The sequence below is a fragment of the Homo sapiens genome, chromosome 22, assembly GCF_000001405.40.
Source record: "Homo sapiens chromosome 22, GRCh38.p14 Primary Assembly".
Taxonomy (NCBI): Eukaryota; Metazoa; Chordata; class Mammalia; order Primates; family Hominidae; genus Homo; species Homo sapiens.
Window position 1 is genome coordinate 33,322,616 of NC_000022.11, and position 23,836 is coordinate 33,346,451.

At 46.5% G+C, this 23,836-nt stretch overlaps 1 protein-coding gene across 26 annotated transcripts in view, besides 1 other annotated feature; it reads right to left on the reverse strand.

The window, feature by feature from the left end:
- Positions 1-23,836, reverse strand: part of LARGE1 (LARGE xylosyl- and glucuronyltransferase 1) — an 856,162-nt gene that overhangs the window by 255,953 nt on the left and 576,373 nt on the right. For 22 of the 26 annotated variants that reach the window (XR_007067993.1, XR_002958722.2, XR_007067994.1 and 19 more), the window contains one exon: positions 15,031-15,186. The exons of 2 other annotated variants lie outside the window; for them this stretch is intronic. Coding sequence is in view for 21 of the 24 variants with exons in the window: in XM_024452302.2 (XP_024308070.1) it covers positions 15,031-15,186 (156 nt within the window). In the remaining 3 variants the exon portion in view is untranslated. Of the gene's footprint in view, positions 1-521; positions 986-15,030; positions 15,187-23,836 lie in introns of those variants that run through there. 2 more of the 26 variants (XM_047441604.1, XM_047441605.1) reach the window with 2 other exon arrangements.
- Positions 2,851-2,900: an enhancer, noted in NCBI's record as "active region_18881". NCBI's record gives its function as "activates an Ori minimal core promoter by ATAC-STARR-seq in GM12878 lymphoblastoid cells {active_cell/tissue: GM12878}" and the evidence as "EXISTENCE:reporter gene assay evidence [ECO:0000049][PMID:35858748]".

Genomic DNA, 23,836 nt, shown 5'->3' on the forward strand with positions numbered 1-23,836 from the left:
AGATGCTCCGAGGACTTCCAAAGTACACCTTGCCCTAGTGGGATGGACTAGGGCAGTCCTGGAGAAGAGGCCACCTCCAGCTCTGAACTTCATGGTACCAATAATGGGATTTGGTGGCATCCACATCCCAAGCTCACTTGCAGCCCTTGCTGCAGTGTATAAAGGGTATTATCTAGGGAATATTGTCATTTACCAACCACAGTGGGTATTGTAGAAAAAAAAGGTGGCCGGGCACCGTGGCTCATGCCTGTAATCCCAGCACTTTGGGAGGCGAAGGAAGGCGGATCATGAGGTCAGGAGATCGAGACCATTCTGGCTAACACCGTGAAACCCCGTCTCTACTAAAAATACAAAAAATTAGCTGGGTGCAGTGGCGTGCGCCTCTAGTCCCAGCTACTTGGGAGGCTGAGGCAGGAGAATCGTTTGAACCTGGGAGGGGATGGTTGCAGTGAGCCGAGATCACGCCATTGCACTCCAGCCTGGGTGACAGAGTGAGGCTCTGTCTCAAAAAACAACCACCACCATCAAAAACAAAAACAACAACAAAAAACAAAAACAAAACAGGAAAGAAAGAAAGGTATGCTGTCAGACGTACCTGTCCACAGGACTCTGGGGCAACCAGAAGCCATCCTTGAACTTGCATGTTCATTTCTCCTCTACATGGTGCTTTGCACCTTGATCCACCTAATACTAACTGGGTACCTACTATGTGACTGGCGCAATGCTAAATGTTTTCAGGTGCATTGCTTCATCAATTTAATCCTTCAGCACACATATCTGTTGTACAAAGGAGGAAACTAAGGCTCAGGAGCTTTCAGTAATCTGCTTCAGTGAGCGAGAAGAAGTCCAGGATGGGAATCCAGTCTTCGGACCTCAAACCAGGGACATTTCACAACACAATTACTTCTTCCCAGGAGATGGAGGTGAGAATCAAATGAGATGGTGGAAGACACAATGTTCCATGAACGAAGCAGGCCATAAAAAACTGTGGTCCCAGTGCAGGAAAAAGACGAAAGGAAAAAGAAAAACCCACTCAAAAAAAGAAGGGAACACATTATAATGTTAACAAAGATTTTCTGAGTGGTGGATTCACAGATGAATTTTATTGGCTTCTTAAACTTTTCTGTAGTTAACTAATTCCCTGCAATTTTCTCAAATGAGCTAATGCACGTAAAACTGCTTTGTGAACTGTAAAGTGCTACCCAAACCTAAGCAATGTGGTTATGATTATATTATGTACCTTTTCAAATTCTAATTTAGGCTCGCTTATTCCTGACTGCGTGGCTAATGTTATCTCAATGGGGAGACTCTAGCAGTTTAGAAACTGCCTCCTTGGCCAGATGCGGTGGCTCACGCCTATAATCCCAATACTTTGGGAAGCTGAGGCGGGTGGATCACCTGAGGTCGGGAGTTCGAGACCAGCCTGGCCAACGTGGGGAAACCCCATCTCTACTAAAAATACAAAAATTAGCCAGGTGTGGTGGTGGGTGCCTGTAACCCCATCTACTCGGGAGGCTAAGGCAGAACAGCTTGAACCCAGGAGGTGGAGGTTGCAGTAAGCTGAGATCATGTCATTGCACTCCAGTCTGGGCAACAGACCAAGACTCCATCTCAAAAAAAAAAAAAAAAAAAAAAAAAAAAAAGCCAAAAAAACAAAAACAAAAAGCCAAAAACAAACAACCCCCCCCCCAAAACAAACAACAAAAAAGCCAAAAACAAAACCTGCCTCCTTTTCACCCAGGGTTTGGGTAATTTCTCTGGGGAGCCATGGAGCCGGAGGGAGTATTTCATTAACAGGGTCTGAATGCTACTGTACTCTGCTCTCTGGCCACTGCCACAGGGAACAGAGGGCTCCTGACAAGGGAGGCACAGAAACAAAAGACAGATTTCTCCTGAGATAAAATGCATTTGCTAAACTGCTTCTTTGGGCAGCCAGCTGAGGCAGAGGGAAATTTGGACCCAAGGGAAAATGGCCCGTTAGGCAGTTTGCATTTATTTCTCCTCATCTTTAAGGACAGTGGCCTAGACTGACTTTTTGAGCTGCTGGAAATGATGGCTGGTTATACCTGAGGATCCAGAGGGAGTACAAGTGCATCCTGTGCTCTGGCCTTAGAGACTTCTGTTCACAGTTGCGCAAACTAAGGAGTGAGATTATGGGGATAACTGAAAAGCGAGACCTGATATCTCTGACACTCATTTTCTATGCGACCTTGAGCAAGTCATGTCTCTGAATTAGTAAGACAAAGGGTTTGGACTTCCTAAAGTGACGCTCAAGGATCACGCACTCACTGGGTCAGGTAAAGTGGGGAGAGCTTTTGCAGGTTCTTTCTCATGTAAGACTCACATCAACTCTACAGATCAAGAACCACTCTTAGTCCTCTTTAGTAGAAGAAGACATCCATCATCTGAAAGGTTTAGCCATTGCTTAAGGTTATACAATGCGCGAACAGAGTAGCTGAGATTCAAACCCAGGTGTATTTCCTCTGAATTCTTGCAGGTAACCAACTCACTACAATGCCTAGTTGGTCAGCCTCTGGGCTTCTTTCTAGTTCTAACAGTAAACGATTCTGTGACTGCAGAGGACTCAACACATGTATTTCACATGGTGGCAGAAACATCCTGTGCTCACCAATATCCATATTTTGCTCTCTTCCTGGGCACAGAGCTAGGCTGTATCTCCAGCCTCCTTGCAGTTAAGAATAACTCTGTGATACAGCTCTGGCCACTGGAGTCTGGAAAGGCTCTGGCTAGTACAGGCACCACTCTGAAGCCTTGCTCAGGAACAAATTTTATTCGCCTTCTTTTCTTGGCTGACAGCCAGAGCAAGAGAATCCTGTAGAGCAGGCTGGGGTTCTGTGGAGGGCAGAGCCACAAGACAAAAGGAGCCTGGGTCCTTCAACCTGCAGAAAAACTACCTGCCAATCATGAACACCCATGTGGACTTTCTGCAAGGTTCCAGCAGGTTGAGCCACATTACAGCTGCTTGTGCTACCTTGACTAACAGGCACATTTGAATGCTTGTAGCCTGTAAGTGATGGAGACATAGTACGATGGACCAATTAAGGAGTCTGGGAGGCCCCGTTTCTTCCTTCCTGTGACACCCCTCCTTCTGATGTCTTGGGGCAATGGGTGAAATCACTGATGGGGAAATTACCACTCAAGCATGTTGCTTTGCACTTTCAACTTGCTTTCACTTTTTGGTGGCTTCGTATCCACTATTTCATTTTTACTCCTCCCCAGCGCTTGCATGAGACAGGCAAGGCTGCCCTTAGGGCCCTCAGTTGACAGATGAGGGCCCAAGGTGCTCAGAGAAGCTGGGGCTCCAACTCTGGTCTCCTGAAACCTAACCCAGAGCTTGTCCCTGTGGTTTCCACAAAGCAGTTACATCTTATTAAGCCACACAGACAGGCAGAAAAAGCTCACGACCTTCCTCGTTGCCTGCTGTGTGTATTAATCAACAAGTTCCAGGAACCCAAAGCATTTTTTTACTAAGGAAACCAAACTATGAGTCCATTTTCATTCTTTTGCAGGGAGGTAGGGGGCTGCATTCAGGACTGTTGAGTGAAGGTTCAGAGAGGGTCTGCCCAGCCCTGACCTCGACTTGGAGGAGATAAGAAAAAGGCTTGGTCTCCTCCCTCCCAGTTATCAGTATTAATTCACGCATCACATACAATTCATAGGCTCTTATTTTATGCCAAGTCTTGTGCTAGGAATGGGGAATGAGCTCCTGCTTCTGCACTTGTATTATTCCTATGGTCTAGGAGGAGAGGCAATGAAGCCAGTCACTAATTACAAACACAGTGCAATCACAACACAAACCTTAATTCTGGGGGGCCTTTGCCATCTGCCACATTGTTCTAAGCTCCTGGCCCTGTCTTACTTTATTGATTCCTCTTAAGTCTATCAGATAGGAATAACTAATTTCCATCGTACAGATGAGAAAACTGAGGTGCAGGGAGTTTAAGCAGATCACCAGGAATCCCACAGCTGGCAGTCCAGCTGGGATTTCACATGAGGCAGCCTCATTCCAGAGCTGCCTTCTTATCTACTGCACAAGTAAGAGATGCCACTTGAGAAAGGGAGATATGGTGGAAAGGAGAGGAAGGGAGGGAGCTGCTTTATAGACAAGGGAGGGCCGAACACCTGGCAAGTGCAGAGAGATGACAACCAGTGCCTAGAGGGGTCAAACAGGGCTCTGTGTAAGTTGCAGCTGAACAGGATCAAAGCAGCCAGGCCACAAGGGGAAACCGTGGCCCAGACTTGTATCCACTGAGTCTCTTGATCCCACAGCTCCTCTTCCCTTCACCCCCTCTCTCTGGAGCTTAACACATTCCTGGAGGGTCCTTTGGAGACTGGCCTTGAGCAGCCTAGCCTGTCTTAGGGTTTTGGGTCTGTCCATCCTGGGCTCTGCTGCCTGCTGCGTGACTGAAGAGTTGGCGACATGCGGCTCGCACGTGAGAGCAGGAATGCATTCTGGGCTTTCTCCGGGATTCTTCTGAGATACAGCTGTTTCCACAGAGCCATCTGTTTCTTGGCATTGTCTTGCAGGGTGATGCCATACAATGTTATAGAATCTGTTTATATGTGTCTTATTTTTAACTTCTAGTTGAGGTGATGCTGTTGTTTTTTCCTCTTAGCAGGCTTAGTGTCAGGGAACGTGGCCTTGGAAGTGGCCTGTCACCTTCATAGCGTGAGAGAGTTAAGCTTGGAAGCCTTCTTCATTTCAGAGGTGAGGCAGTGATCTCCCAGCAGTTGAGAGAGCGGGTATCCAAGACAAGCTTTCTGGAAAATACTCGTAACAATAACTGCCTAGATGGTGCAGCACTTTGAATACTTTAACCCCTTTAACTTTCCTCAAATAGCCTGGTGTGGGTGCATTTACTGACCATTTTACAGATGGGAAAACCGAGGTTCATGTAAGGCTAGAGTTATGCCTAAAATCATAGATCTGGTCTAGGGCCACGGGGTCTTGCTCTGTCGCTCAGGCTAGAGTGTGGTGGTGCCGTCTCGATTCACTGCAGCCTCGACCTCCCAGGCTCAAGTGATCCTCCCACCACAACCTCCTGAGTAGCTAGGACCACAGGCATGTGTGGTTTGCTTATTTTTCACAGAGACGAGGTCTCACTATGGTGCCTGGGTTGGTCTAGAACTCCTGGGGCTCAAGTGATCTTCCTGCCTCAGCCTCTCAAAGTGCTGGGATTACAGGTATGAGCCACTATTCCCAGCTTGGGCCAAATTTTCTGAGTCCAAGTGGAGGGATGCTTCTGGCACACCACAAATGCTTCAAGAAAAGGACTTGTTATAGTTCATTTGTTCAACAAGATTTATTGAGCATGGATCTGGTGCCAGGCACTCTTTAATGAAGATGTACTGATGAATAAAACAGATAAAAAGCCCCGTAGTCACAGAGCTTACATTCTAGTGGGTAGAGACATGATCAACAAAAATAAATAAGTCATGATTATATTAGTGATAAGTACTATGGAGAAAAATGAAGGAGCCCTGGAGAGAGGGAGTGCTGGGGTATGGGACAGGCATTGCAATTTTAGATAGAGGAGTATTTTAAATAGTCGTAGAGAGACCACTCAACTATGAATCAGGGCTTGATACCGGCTTCAGCCCTGCCACCAACGTGTTCTATGAATTCACCTCTCTGAGCTTCTATTTCCTTCTGTATAAAATGGAGATAACAGCAGTGGCTCGCGCCTGTAATCCCAGCACTTTGGGAGGCTGAGGTGGGTGGATCACGAGGTCAGGAGTTCAAGACCAGCCTGACCAAGATGGTGAAACCCCAGCTCTATTAAAAATACAAAAATTAGCCTGGCATGGTGGCAGGTGCCTGTAATCCCAGCTACTCGAGAGGCTGAGGCAGAGAATTGCTTGAACCCGGGAGGCGGAGGTTGCAGTGAGCCGACATTGTGCCACTGCACTCTAGCCTGGGTGACAGAGCGAGACTCTCTCTCAAAATAATAATAATAATAATAATAATAATAAAATAAAACAAATAAATAATAAAAAAGGAGATAACAGGAACTACCTTGAAGGGTTAGTGAAAGAGTAAGAAAACCGTATCCATATAACAACTAGGAGAATTGTGGAATAACCTGGATATATGTAATAATGTAACTTACTATTACATTAATATGACATACATAGCTACATCCATTTGGGAAGCACTTCCTTGTCTTGTGGCTTTAGAGTTAGGTAGACCTGGTTTCTAATCACGGCCCCAGCACTTAGGAGTTGTGTGGTCTTGAACAAGTAAATCATTTCTTTGAAGCCTTCCTTTCCTTATCTGTGAAATGTGACTCATAATGACTCCCACTCTTTGTGGTGAAGATTAAAGTTGTATTTCCCTTTCTCTTTCTTTCCCTGTAGAAAATTTCCAATTCCCAAAAGCTAGAGGCAAGCAGAGAAAGGTCTTAGAACAGCACAAAGAGCTGTGCTCATGCAGGAGAGACCAGAATGACTAATACCTATCGTAGGGATACCCAGCAGGCTTTGGTTCCCTGCTATCACTAGGAGGCTAGGAGACCAATACTGATTACTCAGAGTGCTGTTTTGAGGAGGATAAAGAAGCTGGGCATAGGTGAATAATGCAGTCATCAATTAGTGATGTCTGCTGTGGGCAGGGGTTGGAGACACTGGCTGTTGACTTACAATTCCATATACATTCAAAAATTCATTGGTGTCCAGTGTATTTTTTTTTTGTAGTTTGTGGATGTTTGGTATGTTTCATAATCTAGCTTTTAACATAACAACAGATCATTCTTTTACCATCAGTCTTTCTAAATTAAATACCTTTGTGGGTTTTTTTTTTGTGGGGGGAAGGGGGCGTTGGCTGCCTTGGAAAGAAGGAACAAGGAGGCGAGCCCAGAAAGGGTTGTTCTGAAGCTGATAAGCAGAAAGTGACAGCTGTCAGAAAGGAATCCACAGAATAAGCAGTGAACAGTCTGGGGCCATTTCCTGCCAGGTTAAACAGTATCTTTCCTCCTCTGGACAACCCCCTCCACCTCCTCCAGCCTTTTCAATGTAACCACAGTCATCAAATATTGTAAACTTAGTTTAATACTAAACTGAGTTTAGTGTTTGCTTACTAAAGGAACGGCATACACTTTAGCAGCAAGTTTCCTGTCCAAATTGGTTAAAACCCATCTATTTTAATGGTTTTTGCATTTAAAAAGATGAGGTTCCTTTAGTTGGAAATTCCCTTAGGTGGAGCAAGACCCTCTTGATGATAAAGCATCACCCTACAAATACAATACTTAGGGAGCATTGCATGTTTCTAAATAGCAAACTGAATGGAAACTTTCTATGCTATCTTCTGGGCTGTCAGGTACTAGGGAGGTGGAAGGATCCTTATTTCCTTATGTTTCATTAAAAAAACAGAACAACAAAAAAAAACCCAACAAAACCTAGACTCCAGAGGACAGGGCTCAGATCAGTGGGTTCTTTACAGAAGGGAATATTTCAGCCCAACATGAGGTAGAACAATTTAGCATCTGGAGCTTTCCAATAGCAGAGTAAGCTGCCTTGGAAGGTGGCTCTCTGTCTTTGGGAGAATTTCAGCAGAAGCCAGATGCAAGCCTATTAGGGATACTGTGGAAGGATTCTGAATAGAAAAAACGGTAGAGAATAGCTCTGATTATCCAACTATGTTCTGGAAGAGTCCTGGGGTTTCTTGGATATTCTTTTATAAATTTAATTTAATTTAATTTAATTTTAGGGACTGGGTTTTACTCCATCACACAGGCTGGAGTATAGCGGATCGATCATAGCTCACTTCAACCTTAAACTTCTGGGCTCAAACAATCCTTGTGCCTCTGCCTCCAAAAGTGCAAGGATTATAGGCATGAGCTACCGCACCCTGCCATTTCTTGGATATTCTTGAGGGGCTGGGTTGTTGAGGAAAAGGGAGAGAAATGCTAAGGTATAGAATTCTAACCTCCATCCCTATGTCAATCAATCAACTCATAATAACCAATGCATACCAAATGCTTACTGCACTACATAAAGAATTTACAAGTTCCAGGGAGAGATGCCCAAACTATGAGAGACAAGTGGCTGTGACCAATTAGCTACTGTCATTCCATAGCACTGGGGGAGCCTGTTCTCTTGCAAATCAAACTGTCTTGTCCTAGAGCAAGCAGCCCAACCAGTGGCTCTGAAATGGCGCTCTGCCCCTCACATCTTGGCTCCTTGATGAAGAATTACATCCCTGACTGGATGTCCTTATTTTTATTTTGGCAGCAAGGCAAACCAAATAGCCTCTTCTTCCTACCCTGAATTTCCGAATCAGTGGGGATACTGGGGATTGTTTGACTTAGAGCAAATGTGACACCCTCTCACATGCTTTACAGACAGATTTCTCAGAGACTCTACAGGTTCCCTTCTCTGCTACGTCTTTTTACCAGAGTTGCTAATAAAACCTAAAGCCTATGTGTGGAACAGTGGATTATGATCACATGGGTCAGGCATTGGGGTCTGTGAAGAAACTCATCCCAAGGCACACTGTGTTCCTGGTGCCAAGTCCTTCTTTTTTGGCCTTCAATTGTTCATAAAACCCCATGGCAATGGTGTCATGTACCCATTTCTCAGATGGTAAACCCAAGGCTCAGAGCATTTAGGTGACTTCTCTGAGGTCATGTGTCTATTAAATGAGCGATTCAGATTACCAGAGAGCTCATACTCTTGTTGTCATTATCAATTTCCCAGTGAAAAAGTTAAAATAATGCAAAAATTAACTTGTGCAGCTCTTTCTTTTCTTTCTTTCTCTCTCTCTTTCTCTTCTTATCTTTTTTTTTTTTTTTTGACGGAGTCTTGCTCTTGTTGCCCAGGCTGGAGTGCAATGGCATGATTTCGGCTCACTGCATCCTCTGCCTCCCAGGTTCAAGCGATTCTCCTGTCTCAGCCTCCCGAGTACCTGGGATTACAGACATGTGCCACCATGCCCAGCTACTTTTTGTACTTTTAGTAGAGACGGGGTTTCGCCATGTTAGCCAGGCTGGTCTTGAACTCCTGACCTCAGGTGATCTGCCCGCCTCGGCCTCCCAAAGTGCTGGGATTACCGGCGTGAGCCACCGCACCTGGCCTGTGCAGCCATTTTTATAGTTCTCACACTGACTTCATTTGACTCTCAACTCCCAGCAGGTCCTCGAGTGATCATGCTTGTGTTGGCTCCTGGTCTCCAGTGCTCATGTTGCTCCCTCCCACCCACCAAGTTTACCCTTCAGACTCCTTCACTCCTACTTATTCAACCTTTAAATCTCACCTCCTCCAGGAAGTCTTCCTCGATGCACCTTCTCTCCCTAGTTGTGTAAAATGCCCTTCCCGTGTGCTCTCAAAGCACTACCACTATTTTGGCACTAACCGCACTACTTAATAATCCTCTGCTTGTCTGTAACCCTCACTCAACAGTGACTGCAAGAGCCGAGCTTTAATCTGCAATGCTGCCTGCTAGAACACTAGCCCTGTGTCTGGCGACTACCTGAATTATCAGCTGGGTGGATGATATGGTTTGGCTGTGTCCCCACCCAAATCTCATCTTGAATTGTAGCTCCCATAATTGCTACATGTTGTGGGAGGGACACAGTGGGAGTTAACTGAATCATGGGGGCAGGTTCCCCCTATACTGGTCTCATGATAGTGAATAAGTCTCATGAGATCTGATGGTTTTATAAGGGGAAACCCCTTTCACTTGGTTCTCATTCTCTCTCTTGCCTGCCACTGTGTAAGACGTCCCTTGCTCTTCCGCCATGATTGTGAGGCCTCCCCAGCCATGTGGAACTGTGAGTCAATTAAACCTCTTTCCTTTATAAATTACCCAGTCTCAGGTATGTCTTTATCAGCAGCGTGAAAATGGACTAATACAGTGGATGAAAGGAGTCTTAAGTCACTTAGACACTGCCATCAGAGCCTGCTCCCATCTAGGATCTCAAGTCCAAAGAAGAGGTTCCTGACTTGGTTTCTTTCAGACTCACCACCATCTGTGCACTTATCACAGCTCTAATGACCTCTTCCCACAGAGCTGGGAGCATAGGCTTTGGGCTGGATCCAAGATCATACCCTTTCCCTCTGGTTGTGTCTGCAGATAACACTTGACGCGCTGCGGAAGACCAGGTGGTAAACTCCCTACAGAGCTGTGGTTCAGGAGTGCAATGTTTACAGACTCTCTCTTTGCCCCAGCTCCAGCCCCAGCCCCAGCCCCAGCCAGCAGAGGAACAGGGCTGGAGCAGTGTACAGGAACCTGCTTGTCTTGACTTATGAGTGCTAGCTGCACCTACTCTCATGTTCTTAGTACCCACAAAACAATCCATCTGCTCTCTCCATTCCCACCGCAACTGTCCTAGAGATCAGAGCCCCATCCATCATGTTTTTGCCTGGGATGGGGCAATGTCCTTTTTTTTTTTTGGACGGAGTCTCACTCTGTCACCCAGGCTGGAGTGCAGTGGCGTGATCTCGGCTCACTGCAAGCTCTGCCTCCCGGGTTCATGCCATTCTCCTGCCTCAGCCTCCTGAGTAGCTGGGACTACAGGCGCCCACTACAGGCGCCCACCACCAAGCTCGGCTATTTTTTTGTATTTTTAGAGAGACAGGGTTTCACCGTGTTAGCCAGGATGGTCTCGATCTCCTGACCTCATGATCCGCCCACCTCAGCCTCCCAAAATGCTGGGATTACAGGCGTGAGCCACTGTGCTGGGCCGGGGCAATGTCCTTTAAGTGGTCCCTCCAGTTTTGTCTTTTTCATTTCATCCTCTACCTTGAGTGATTTTTCTCTAATATAAATCTGCCCATCACCAAAACCCTTCAGTGGCTCCTCACTGCCCTGAGGAGAAACTCCAAGCTTCTCAGCACAGTCAGGGCGCCTCCTGGTCAGCTTTGTTCCTAGCCATGCCCCCAACATGCCTGTGCTCTGGTACATGAACTTCCAGCATGTTCTCTTTTAACAGTTCACTTCTTCATCTGCTCTTCCCTTTACTTGGTGGTAATTCATTCTTACTTCTTAAATTTACTTAGTACATTCACTCAATAAATATTTATTAGGTGCTTATTATGTGCTTGGTTCTATCCTATGTTAGGACGGAGAACCTCAGAGGTGAACAGTACAAAGTCTTTAAGAGTCTTATGTTTTGGTATTACATTTATGAAAAAATGTAGGAAACGAACATATGAACCAGGTAATTGTAAACAGGAGTAGATGCTCTGACAAAAAGAAAACAGGGGCTGGGTGCAGTGGCTCATGCCTGTAATCCCAGCACTTTGGGAGGCTGAGGTGGGTGGATCACCTGAGGTCAGGAGTTCGAGACCAGCCTGGCCGACACAGCGAAAACCTGTCTCTACTAAAAATACAAAAAAAGTTAGCCGGGTATGGTGGCAGGCACCTCTGATTCCAGCTACTTGGGAGGCTGAGCCAAGAAGAATTGCTTGAATCTGGGAGGGAGAGGTTGCCATGAGCCGAGATCGCGGCACTGCACTCCAGCTGGGGCGACAGTGCGAGATTCCGTCTCAAAAAAAAAGCCAGGCGCGGTGGCTCATGCCTGTAATCCCAGCACTTTGGGAGGCCGAGGCAGGTGGATCATGAAAGGTGATCATGATCAAGACCATCCTGGCCAACATGGTGAAACCCTGTGTCTACTAAAAATACAAAAATTAGCTGGGCATGGTGGTGTGCACCTGTAGCCCTGGCTACTCAGGAAGCTGAAGCAGAATTGCTTGAACCGGAGAGGCGGAGGTTACAGTGAGCTGAGATCGCGCCACTGCACTCTAGCCTGGCGACAGAGCAAGACTCTGTCTCAAAAAAAAAAAAACAAAAAAAAAAAACACCAAACAAAAAGAAACAGGGCATGTCATAGACAGTGACTTAATGGATTACTTTGTGTGGGGGTAGGGGATTGCAAAGTTTCTGTGATGTCACAGCTGAGACATTTAAACACAGAGGGTCAGGGTGTTCCCGCCAGTGGGAATAGCAAGCACGAAAGCCCTATGGTGAGCCCAGAATGTAGAAAGCACAGAAAGGAGGTGGATGTGGCCCATGCATAGTGGTCAAGGGAGAGAGGGGAGAGAGACTGGGATGACAGCCATGGTGACTGCTTAGAGCAGGCTGCTTTCTCATTCATGGGCCTCCTGGGCCCAGACGGCCCTTCCTGTTGGCATCTCTAAGAGCTGTTAAGCTTCAGGCCACTTACATACAGGGGTGGGCTCAGTCTCTAAGTTCAACCCCCGTGAGCTACACGGCTCCTGGCAGATGGCCAGCATTCACGCATTCTTCCTGAGCAAATAAGTATGGTCACGGATTCCGAGAAAGACCACCGACGACTTCTTCACCTCGCCGATCCCCCCAGGGGAAGGAGATGGTAGGAAAAGCTGGTGAGTCACTCATAAAAGGAGTCTCATTTCTTATAACACTGAGCAGCAGCATGGCATGGGAATGCACTGATACAAATGATTAACTGACGGCTTCATCCTGCAAGGCTTTTTATGGGAGCCTTCTCCATGGAGGGGGGAAATAAACGAGGTAGGAGAACAGTTTCCATTTAACGTTTGCAAAAATGTGCCGAATGGGCACTCAAATCTTGATGATGATACATACTGATGTGAGCAAAGAGAACTGAAGGAAAAACTGAAAGAACAGTGTTTGTTGAGCCTCTAAGTGCTTCCCAGAATCTGAAAGAGTTCCAGTGCTTAATGGTTTTCTTTCCTTTATCACTAGATGCGAAGGAGGGCAGATGCTGAGAAGGCCTCTAGGGTGATGGGGAGAAGGGCCAGAGCCAGTGGCGATCCACTGTGACTTGGGGACCCAGTCACAGAGAGCAGGGGCGCACTGTGACCAGGGTCATCCTGATAAAAGGCCAGGCGAGTACATGCCTCTGGTCCTTCCACAGGTGCCCTTCCCTGCCATTGGGAGCCTAAAAGAATTCTCACTACATCCAAAATAACTATAAAAAATAACTATAAAAACAGCAGCAACAACAATAAATCAAAATTCTGAATCTGAAATCCAACATACAACCTCCTACCAATCTGGCTCCTGCCTACCTGAGCCCTCCCTCCCCACTAGCTCCTAGGCACACTGGCCATCCTTCTGTTCCACACCCCGAACCTGTCCTGCCTCAGGGCCTTTGCACCAGCTACTTCCTCTACCTGGAACGTGCTCCCTTTGCTCTTCTCTGGGAGGCTCATTCATGTCATTTAGGTTTCAGACTAAACGTCACCTCCTCATAGAAATCCTTAAACCAGTGGAGCTGCTCACTAATATATTGCTATGTAGCAGTTGCCACTGGCTGATCATTGTTTTCTGCGAGTTTAGTTATTAACTGTGTCTCCTCCACCAGAATATAAACATCATGAGATCAGGAACCAAAGTCCTTTTTCATCTACGAATACTTAGTGTGCAGAATAAGTAGAAGGTCCTCAGTAAATGTTTGCTGCCTAAAGGAATGAACCAGGTACTTCTGTGTCTAATACTAAGGGTCAAGGAAAGAGCAGAGTGCAAATATTGACTATGCATGTAACACAGGGCCAACACCAAGCTAGGTGCTTTGCATGCAACTTTTCAGCTACTGTCAAAACATCCCATGTAAGTTTGTTGTTATTGTTGTTGTTTTTGAGAGAGTCTCACTTTGTTGCCCAGGCTTGAGTGTAGTGGCATGATCTCGGCTCACTGTAACCTCCGCCTCCCGGGTTCAAGCAATTCTCCTACCTCAGCCTCCCGAGTAGCTGGGATTATAGGTGCCTGCCACCATGCCTGGTAATTTTTGTATTTTTAGTAGAGATGGGGTTTCACCATGTTAGCCAGGCTTGTCTTAAACTCCTGACCTCAAGTGATCCGCCTGCCTCAGCCTCCTAAAGTGCTGAGATTACAGGTGTGAGCCACCGCGCCTGGCCCCACAAAAGTTTTTATTCTCCATTTGACAGTTGAAGAAAATGAAGCACAGAGGTTGAGTCACTTATCTGAGATCACACAGGTAGTAACTGGAAGGAATTAAAGCCAAACCCAGGTCAGCCTGACTCCCCATGCCCTGCTTTTTCTGTTAAAGTGCCTCTTCTCTATATCCTAAGAAACTCACAACCAGTCTCAACGTTGCTCCTTGTTTCCTGTGGGGCCATGGGCAACCTGCCTAATCTCTCTGTGCCTCAACTTACTCAACTCTAAAAAGTCGGTTCTGGCCGGGCGCGGTGGCTCACACCTGTAATTCCAGCACTTTGGGAGGCCAAGGCAGGCGGATCACGAGGTCAGGAGATCGAGACCATCCTGGCTAACACGGTGAAACCCCATCTCTACTAAAAATACAAAAAATTAGCCGGGTGTGGTGGTGCATGCCTGTAATCCCAATTACTTGGGAGGCTGAGGCGGGAGAATCGCTTGAACCCGGGAGGCAGAGGTTGCAGTGAGCCAAGATCACGCCACTGCACTCCAGCCTGGGTGACAGAGTGAAACTCTGTCAAAAAAAAAAAAAAAAGTGGGTTTCTATGAACATCAAATGAGATACAGCATATGAACAAATTATAAGTGGTGAAGAGACAGAGAAACAGGAATAGCTATAGTAGACTGTAGCTATGGCGGTGACTTAGTACCTACCTAACACTGTCTTCACCCATGCTCACCCTAAAGGAGCCAGTTACTTGTGAAAAGCTCTTTTTGTGTTTCCCCATGCACTGACTACACTGAATCCAGGGTCTCCCATGTGGGTATCATGTCCACAAAAACATTGGTGTTTCCTGGCTATGAGAGACACTTGATCTTTCCTTTCACTGGTGGTTTTGTTCATTCTGTTTCCTCTGCTTGGAAACTCACTTCTGACTTCACCTCGTCTGGACCAAACATACCCTGTCTGCATCCACAATGATGAGCATGCAAAGGACCCGCTGATGTACCTCTCTCCCCGACTAGATGGTGGACCCTGGGCACCGATGGCGTTGTGTTCACCTAGGTCCTGCCATGAGCCTGACATAGAGCCTGGCATGGGGGAGGTCCTTGATGGATGAGCAGAGAAGCCGCCCCTTCCCTGCCCAGCCTTGCGAGCCACTTACGTTTTCACTGTTGACATCAGCCTCACTGGGGCAGCCAAACAGTTCCCGCCTCAGAAGATTGCCGTCATACTCCAGGAAGGTCAGGTAGAGGTTGCGAAAAAACTCCACATGCTTGTTCTTCACCCGGAGCTTCTTGGGGGAGTTCCAGTGAATGACCTGGCAGGGAGATAAGGAAGTGGTCAGGTATGGCAGGGGTGGGGTGGGGATCCCTCACACCTGTAGGAAGCCATGGCTCAGCACTGGGCTAAGCATTATTTGAGGGTCTGCTCATTCGCTCATTCAACATTTTGGCAGAGTGGTTAAGGGTAGGGGCTCGGGGGCCAGGTCACCTGGGATCAAACCCTGCCTCTGCTCTAGGTAGTCCTTTAATCTCACACAAGTGACTGAATCTCTGTGCCTCAGTTTCCTCATCTGTGAAATGGGAATAATCTGTGCCAGTTATTACATTGTCATCTCTCAGCCCTAAGATGTGATGCTTAGGCCACGACTCTACAAACCCTAATTCTGCTTGGCCACCTGCTGCCTGTAGGTGCCACCCAGAGGGAGCATGACTGGGACATGAAGGGTCTGGAAGGGGAGAAAGGCGCTTGCTCCTCCTGTTGCTTCCTGTCCCTGTGGGCATCACCCTAGTCCCATTTTTTCAGCCCAGCAGTGGCACCTCCTTCCTTTAGCAGCAGCTACATCCATTCTGCAGTTTTTCCCACACTCAGAACACGCTTCGCTGTCCCTACTTCTCGGCCCAGTGATGCTGCCTCTGGAATCGGTTGGTGATGCCATCCTAGAGGTCTGGGTCCTGGCCCCAGGTTTTAATCATTCCTACCTCCTCCTCCTATTTCTTCAGCTCTAGGGTAGTGCTTCCTGTACCAAGTGAACACTTTATGCCTTATAACTATTTTTAAAGATTAAATTCTCTGTTCAAATAATTGCTGTGGTTTCTGCCTCCAGCTAGGACGTTGAATGATACACTGTCTCATAAAGCTTTTTTGAAAAATAAACAAGTTCATGCCTATAAAGCATGTAAATAATGCCTAGCACATGGTAAGTGCTCAGTAGATGCTGGTTCTGACTACTGAGTGCCTAGAGTATAGAGGGCTGGGAAGCAGCCAGAGACATAGGACACTGGGTCCCTCCCTTGGCACACTCATGGTCAGTTGGGGAAAAGTGTCCACAAACAGGTAATTTGAATGTGATAATGGAGAGACGATCAAGAATAAATGAGAGGCCGGGTGCGGTGGCTCATGCCTGTAATGCCAGCACTTTGGGAGGCTGAGGTGGGCAGATCACCTGAGGTCAGGAGTTCAAGACCAGCCTGGCCAACATGGTGAAACCCTGTCTCCACCAAAAATATAAAAATTAGCTGGGCGTGGTGGCAGGTGCTTGTAATCCCAGCTACTCAGGAGGCTGAGGCAAGAGAATCACCTGAACCCAGGAGGTGGAGGTTGCGGTGGGCCGAGATTGCACCACTGCACTCCAGCCTGGGCAACAAAGCGAGACTCCGTCTCAAAAAATAAAAAAAAAAAAAAAAAAAGAAGAAGAAGAAATGAGAGCTGAAGAATGATCAGAGAAGCATCAAAGAAGAAGATGCTTGTGCTGGAGCTTGAGGGAGACAGGGCCTGGGACAGAGGGAAGATGTGTTGTGTTGGGGTGGGGTGGCTCATTTGGAGCATGAGAACTCAAGTGCTCTAGCTGGAGCACAAGGGGCGGAAAGATATGGGGTCTTTCCGCACAAGGGGCGGAAAAATGTTGGTAGTGGCGTCGTGGGGTCATGCCCTGGACCTGAGAGGCCCATGGTCAGCACTCAGACTGTAGGTACTGCAGATTTTCAGCAGGAGGAACATCCGTAACTCTAGGTTTCAGAAAGATCACTCTATTCATAATGAAGAAGATGCAAGTCGCAGGATGGGAGATGCAAAACTAGAGCCTAGGATGATGGTTAAGAGTCCGCTGTAACTTCCAGCCGAGACAGAAGGCCTTGTAGACAGTTTGATTGGAGAGACAAGATATGCACAAGAAAAAAAAATCTGGGAAAAGCAATAAAATATTTATAAAATATTTATTTGTTTATGACATGGTCATAACAAAGTGCACTCTTGGCTCACTGCAGCCTTGACCTCCTGGGCTCAGGTGATCCTCCCACCTCAGCCCTCTGAATAGCTGGGACCAGGCACATGCCACTATGCACAGCTAAGTTTTTGTATTTTGTAGAGATGGGGTTTTGCCATGTTGCCCAGGCTGGTCTCAAACTCCTGGGCTCAAGTGATCCTCCCACCTTGGCCTCCCAAAGTTCTGGGATTACAGGTGTGAGCTACCACGCCTGGCCTAGAATATTTAATAGTACTAAAATTTATTCTAAGAAAGCACCTTAATTTATTATTAATATCTGGTGGCATTCATTGTTAGTATTAAAAATGATTCATTATTACTATAGAATAACCATGATCAGCAAGACATAATTTGTATTAGTTTATTTAATACGCACAACAGGCCTATGGGGCAGCATGATTATTAACTCCATTTTACAGATGGGGAAGTAGAGGCACAGAAAGACTCTGTAATTTGCCTGTGGTCACAGAAAAGTAGGCTTGGAACCTCTGAAGCCTGGTTCCAGAGTCCACCTGCTTAACTACTCACTGGGCTTGCACTGTGTCTGAGATCAGCACACAGGGACCCAGGAGACTGATGGCTGGGCCAATCAGATGGCCTCTCACAGTTGAGCCACATAAGCTGAACCCTGAATGATGGGTGGAGGCAGAGGGTCCAAGGGGACAGGTTGAGTCCAGGTGAGGGAAATCACACACCATCAAAAACAGCTAAGCCAGGGAAAGACCCCATGAGGACTGCACTGTGAGGTGGCCCTGGTCATATATGATCATATTCTCAATGCTCCTTGGCAGACACCAAGGCAAGGCTCAGCCCAGTGCAACGGCATGAATACCTGAGCACAGTCCCCAGAGAACCCTCCATGGGACACCTGTGACGGGAAAGGGAAGCCTGTACTGAGTGGCCACTGCTCATGCCCTTGACTGGGAGCCTTCTCCTGGGGGGCTCACCCATGGGTTGAACACTTCACCAGCAGTTTTACATTCATTGGCTTCTTTTAGTCCTCACAATGACCCTAGCAAGGCATGCAATCGTAAAGGGGAAGAAACAGTGAAGAAGTGACTTGCCTATGGCCACCTTGCTGGTAAACATGGGAGCTAGGCTTCAAACACAAGCATGTCTGATTCCCAAGCCCACATTCTTTCCTATACACTGTGGAGGACAGAAGCCAAGCTTTTAAAACATTCTGTTTCATGCTTTGTCTGATTATAGAGGAAATGAAATAGCTTTTCCCTCAATAGCCCCCTACTACCTTTACTCTCTCCTCCTGTGGGGGTTGAACAGTATATCAAATGTAATGGACTATCTCCCATTCCCCCACAAAATTCACATGTGGAAAGCCTAATCGCCAAGGTGATGACATTAGGAGGTGGGATCTTCGAGAAGTCATTAGGTCACAAGGGAAGAACCCTCGTGAGTGGATTAGCGCCCTTAGAAAAGACACCCCAAAGTGCTCCCTTGCTTGCTTCCACCATGTGAAGACAGATGGAAAAGGTGCTGACTATGAACCGAAAGGCATGCCCTCACCAGACACCAAATCTGCCAGCGCCCTAACCTTGGACTTCCCAGCCTCCAGAAACTGAGAAATAAACATCAAGCAGCCAGACTGGACTACGACACTGAGGGAAGGAACTGGGTATCCACAGCTCAGTCACTTCTTGTTTCCCTCCTTTGGTTGGGTTCCATCTATGAGAGTCTGCAGCAGGGTCCAGAGCCTGCCATCTGAAGAGAGGACTGGAAGACCCAGCTCCCTCTGTCCTCTATTTTGGCAATGTGCAATAGCAATACCCATTGAAGTTGGCTGGATAAATACTGCTCTAGAAGACCAGTTTTCTCTCTCATGGCACAGTGAATTATGGGGAAACCTATTTGGTCCAAACCACATCCCCACGAACTCCCATAACCAACAACGAATGATACAGTAGCCAGAGTAAGAACTATGAACCTCAGACCAGCCGAGGTCTGAATTCCAGCTATGCTCTTTACTTAGCTGTGTGTGTCCTTGAACAACTCGTTTCTCTTCTTGGAACCTGTTTCCTCAAGTGCAAGGTGGGGATCAGCAAGTAGGTAAGAGGGTTAAACAAATGCCTAGCTCAGTGCTTCCATGTTAGAGTGGTTCCATAAGTGTGGGTTTCCTACCCTCTCAAAGATGGGGCAGGGAAGGAGTTCTGCCCTCCTTTCTCCTTCCTGCCGCCATCAGTCAGAAAGCAAGCACTCCGCATTCAGGAGAGTAGAGACGGCTGGCAGGGATGAAACTATTCGATGAGGCTTACATTTCAGGGACGTATGAGTGTGCAATATGTGCTTTTCTTCTTGTGCCTTTTGAAGGGTAGGAGAGGGAAGACTCTCCCCTGAGAACACATTTGATCTGGGCATAAGATCCTGGGCCATGCATTAAAATAATTGCATGTGGGCTGGTGTCACTCACACCCAGTGGGGGGATCGTGTCGTCTTTGCGAATGATTCCGGTGCTTGCCAAGTGCTGAGCCAGCAGGAAGGTTGATGGATGTGGATCTGACTGAGGAAATGTTAAGCTTCTTCAACAGGGAGAAACTTAAACTAAGTGAAAAGAAGGGCTGGCCTATGGACCCCGCAAACAAAGCTTAATGGATTGTGCACAAATCTGCCAGGTACTTAAGAGACATGGTCTCATTAAATCCTCCAAACAAGCCCATTTGAATCCCACTGTCCACTTTATGGAGATGGTATGTGACTTGCCTGTATCTCACAGCTGGTAAGTTGCAGTGCTGAGACTGGAAGTCAACTCTGAAGCCCAAACCTGAGGTTCTTAACTACTATTATATCTAGTCCTAAAGGGCTGAGCATTTTACAGATGAGGAGAGTGAAATTTACAGAGAAATGAGTCTGCCCAACATCACATGGTGAGTCTGTGCCAAGTCAGGGTTGGGACTAGGACCCAGGTCTCCTGGTGCCCCACAACCCACCGCAAGCCGTCTGTTAGCTCATCAAGCCTCATCCCGCTCTGCATCTGTCTAGTTTGTGTATTCACTACAGGCAAGTGCTGGTGTTACATAAGAAGGAAGATGGGGGAGTGGATGGCGAGGTCTTAGGCAAGCAAAGGCGGTTCTGAAGAGTGCTTTCCCATCCAGCTCCCTCTGATCGGCAAGCCCATCCAAAAATCTGTTAAGGTATATTCAGGTTTACATTTTGCACCTGAGTTTTTAATCATCAGGACATAGAATACTCCATTACCTTGTGCTAGGATCTAAATAAATAATATTTAGTTTGGTACAAAAAGTACTTGCGGTTTTCGCCATTAAAAATTGCAAAAACTGCAATTACTTTTGCACCAACCTAAATAGCTACCATGTATTCAATACCCATTATATGCTAGACATTAGGCTGGTGTTTTTTGTTTGTTTGTTTGTTTGTTGTTTTAGAGACAGGGTCTATGCTGTATCACCCAGGCTGGAGTACAGTGGTGCAATCTGGGCTCACTGCAGCCTCAATCTCCCAGACTCAAGTGATCCTTCCCCTGAGTGGCTGGGACTACAGGCACACACCACCATGTCCAGCTAATTTTGTTTATTTTTTGTAGAGCTTAGGTCTCACTATGTTGTCCAGGCTGGTCTCAAACTCCTAAACTGAAGTGAGCCTCCTGCCTCAGCCTCCCAAACGGCTAGGATTACAGCACTTTGAGCATCTGCATCCGGCCAGGCCAGGGTTTTTTATGTATGTATGTATCCATATATATATATGATATTAAATACATAATACCTATTATTTACTTCTCTACATTGAATGTGATCATGGGATTATAGAGGAAACAAAATAGCTCTCACGTTTCCTCAGTAGCCCCCTACTGTCCTTACTCTCTCCTGCAGGGGTTGAATAGCTTAGTAGATGTAATGGACTGTCTCCCACTCTCCCTCAAAATTCATGAATGTGATTGTGGGATCACATTCAATCAAAACAACCTGGTATGGTGATTTCTATTATTATCTTCATTTTACAGAGGATGAGTCTGAGCCTCAGACTAGCCCAGGGTCACTAAGTGAGTACATGCTCAAGCTTAAAACAAAATCAGATCTGTCTTGCTCAGTATATTAGTCAGGGTTCTCTAGAGGGACGGAACTAATAGGGTAGATATATAAAGGAGTTTATTAAGTCTTAACTTACACGATCACAAGGTCCCACAATAGGCTGTCTGCAAGCTGAGGAGCAAAGAGAGCCAGTCCAAGTCCCAAAACTGAGTCTGATGTTTGAGGGCAGGAAGCATCCAGCACGGGAGAAAGAGGTGGGCTGGGAGGCTAGGCCAGTCTCTCCTTTTCACATTTTTCTGCCTGCTTTATATTTGCTGGCAGCTGATTAGATGTTGCCCACCAGATTAAGGGTGGATTTGCCTTCTCCAGCCCACTGACTCAAATGTTAATCTCTTTTGGCAATACCCTCACAGACACACCTGGGATCAATACTCTGTATCCTTCAATCCAATCAAGTTGACACTCAGTTTTAACCATCACACTCAGAAATGATTTTCTTTCTATTATATCTCATTTATTTATTCAACAGATAGTAAGATGAGCACTGATTTTGTGCCAGACACTGATCTGGGGGCTGTGAATGCAGAGATACACACAAGAGACCATACTCTCTTCCTGAAACTTACAACTTAGATAGAGAGGAAGGTATCACAAAACTGTCCATTTTAAACTACAAGTATGATAACGTGCATTTAAAGAGGCTGTTGGTGATTTTTCCTGGGAAGGGCGCATTAAGTGGAAAGAAACCAAGACCCAGAGTCGGAAAGTGACTTACCGAGAGTCACACAGCAGAGGTAGAAGTAGAGGCCAGCTTCTGTCTCCTGGGCCACTGCTCTTTCCACTAAACCACATCTCTCACTCTGAAAATCTGACTCAGGATCTGTGTTGCTGATATATATATATATTTTTATCAGTGCTTGTCTGACTACTAAGAAATGTTACGTCTTGGTCCCTTGAGGGAAAGAATCACCCATCATTGTTGGCTTGGGGGCAGCAAGCTGGTGACTGCTAAAGAATGTCTTGTCCTGGTCCCTTGAGGGAAAGGATCACCCATCATTGTTGGCTTGGGGGCAGCAAGCTGGTGACTGCTAAAGAATGTCTTGTCCTGGTCCCTTGAGGGAAAGGATCAGCCATCATTGCTGGCTTGGGGGCAGGAAAAGCTGGTGGTGTAGGCATTTATTGACAGGCTTTCACATCTGAGACAGAGTGACACTGGAGAATGCACCCAAAATAGATTTTTGTAAGGAGCTGATAAGTGCATGTGGATCTACAAGGATTGTGATGAAAATCTGTGATAACTTGTTCCACTTTCTGAGGCACATTATCAAGTAGTAATAATAATAATTATTATTAGCAGCTAACATGTATCAGACACTTACTGTATGCCAGGCACTGCTCTGAAAACTTTGCTTCTGATAGCTCATTTACTCTTTACACAACTCTATGAGACAAGTGATGCTCTTACTATGTTACCTGTCAGATGAGAAAAGTTTAGCACGTTGCCTGAAGTTACACAGCTAGAAAGTAGGAGAGTCAGGATTTGAACCCAAGCAGATAGAAAAATTAGAATTCTGTGTCCCTTATTTCTCCCATATCTGTCATCATTAAATGAACATGAGATTGACAAAAGATGACAGGATCAGAAATGAAACCTACTTTCCCCTTCTAATACCCACCCCTGGGATACTAAGGCTGCAGGATGATTTAGGATTTCCCAGATACACAGGCAGAGCCTCCAGTCTGGCAGGAAGCAGAGAGAGGGAGGCATGGAAGTTGCATGCCAGGTGGGCTGCAGGAGCTGCCAAGCATCAGGGGCCCCATGGGTGTGATCTGATTGGATCTGAAATGCCTATAAAGGCTGAGTATATGTGCCGACTTGGAGTCGGCCTCTACTGAGCCAGAGAAAATTGACAGAAATTGATTACTGTCCAGGAAACTTAAACATCATCTGGGAAGGCAGCAGAAGTCCATGTGATTAAAGGAGACACGAGAAACTCTATCACCCATCAAGGGCACAGAAGAAAGCAGTTCAAAGGCAGAAACAAGACCTCAGTGCAAGGACAAGGCTGTGGAAAGAGTCCAGCCAATACTTCTGATGCACTTAGACCCCAGAGGGTTCATAAAAGTAATTAATGGTGCAAAACAGTGAAGAAATCAGAGCCTGTGTGCAAATGGCCAGGTGAATAAGAACATGGATCTTATCTCTTCCAAGTTACTGGGATAAGAGGCATTAGAAAATGGGTCTCCATCTCAACACTCCAACTGACCTTCTATGACCCACAGAATAACACCTAGCCTGATAGGTAGGCCTGATGCAAACTGCCTCCCACTTATGATTCCAGCTCTATATCCAGGCTAAAAGGCAATCCTAGTATTTCTTAAACCTGTCTCTCATGATGCTGTGCCTTTCCCTGTGCTCTCCCCCTTGCTAGAATGTCCTTATTTTCTCTCTACAATACCCTACCTTCTTTTCTCTTCCTTTCTTCCTTCCTTCCTTCCTTCCTCTCTTCTCTCTCTCTCTCTTTCTTTCCTCCTCCTCCTCCTCCTTCTTCTTTTTCTTTTTTTTTTCTGAGACAGAGTCTCAATCTTGTCACCCAGGCTGGAGTGCAATGATGCGATCTCAGCTCACTGCAATCTCCACCTCCCCGGTTTAAGCGATTCTCCCGCCTCAGCCTCCCGAGTAGCTGGGACTACAGGCATGC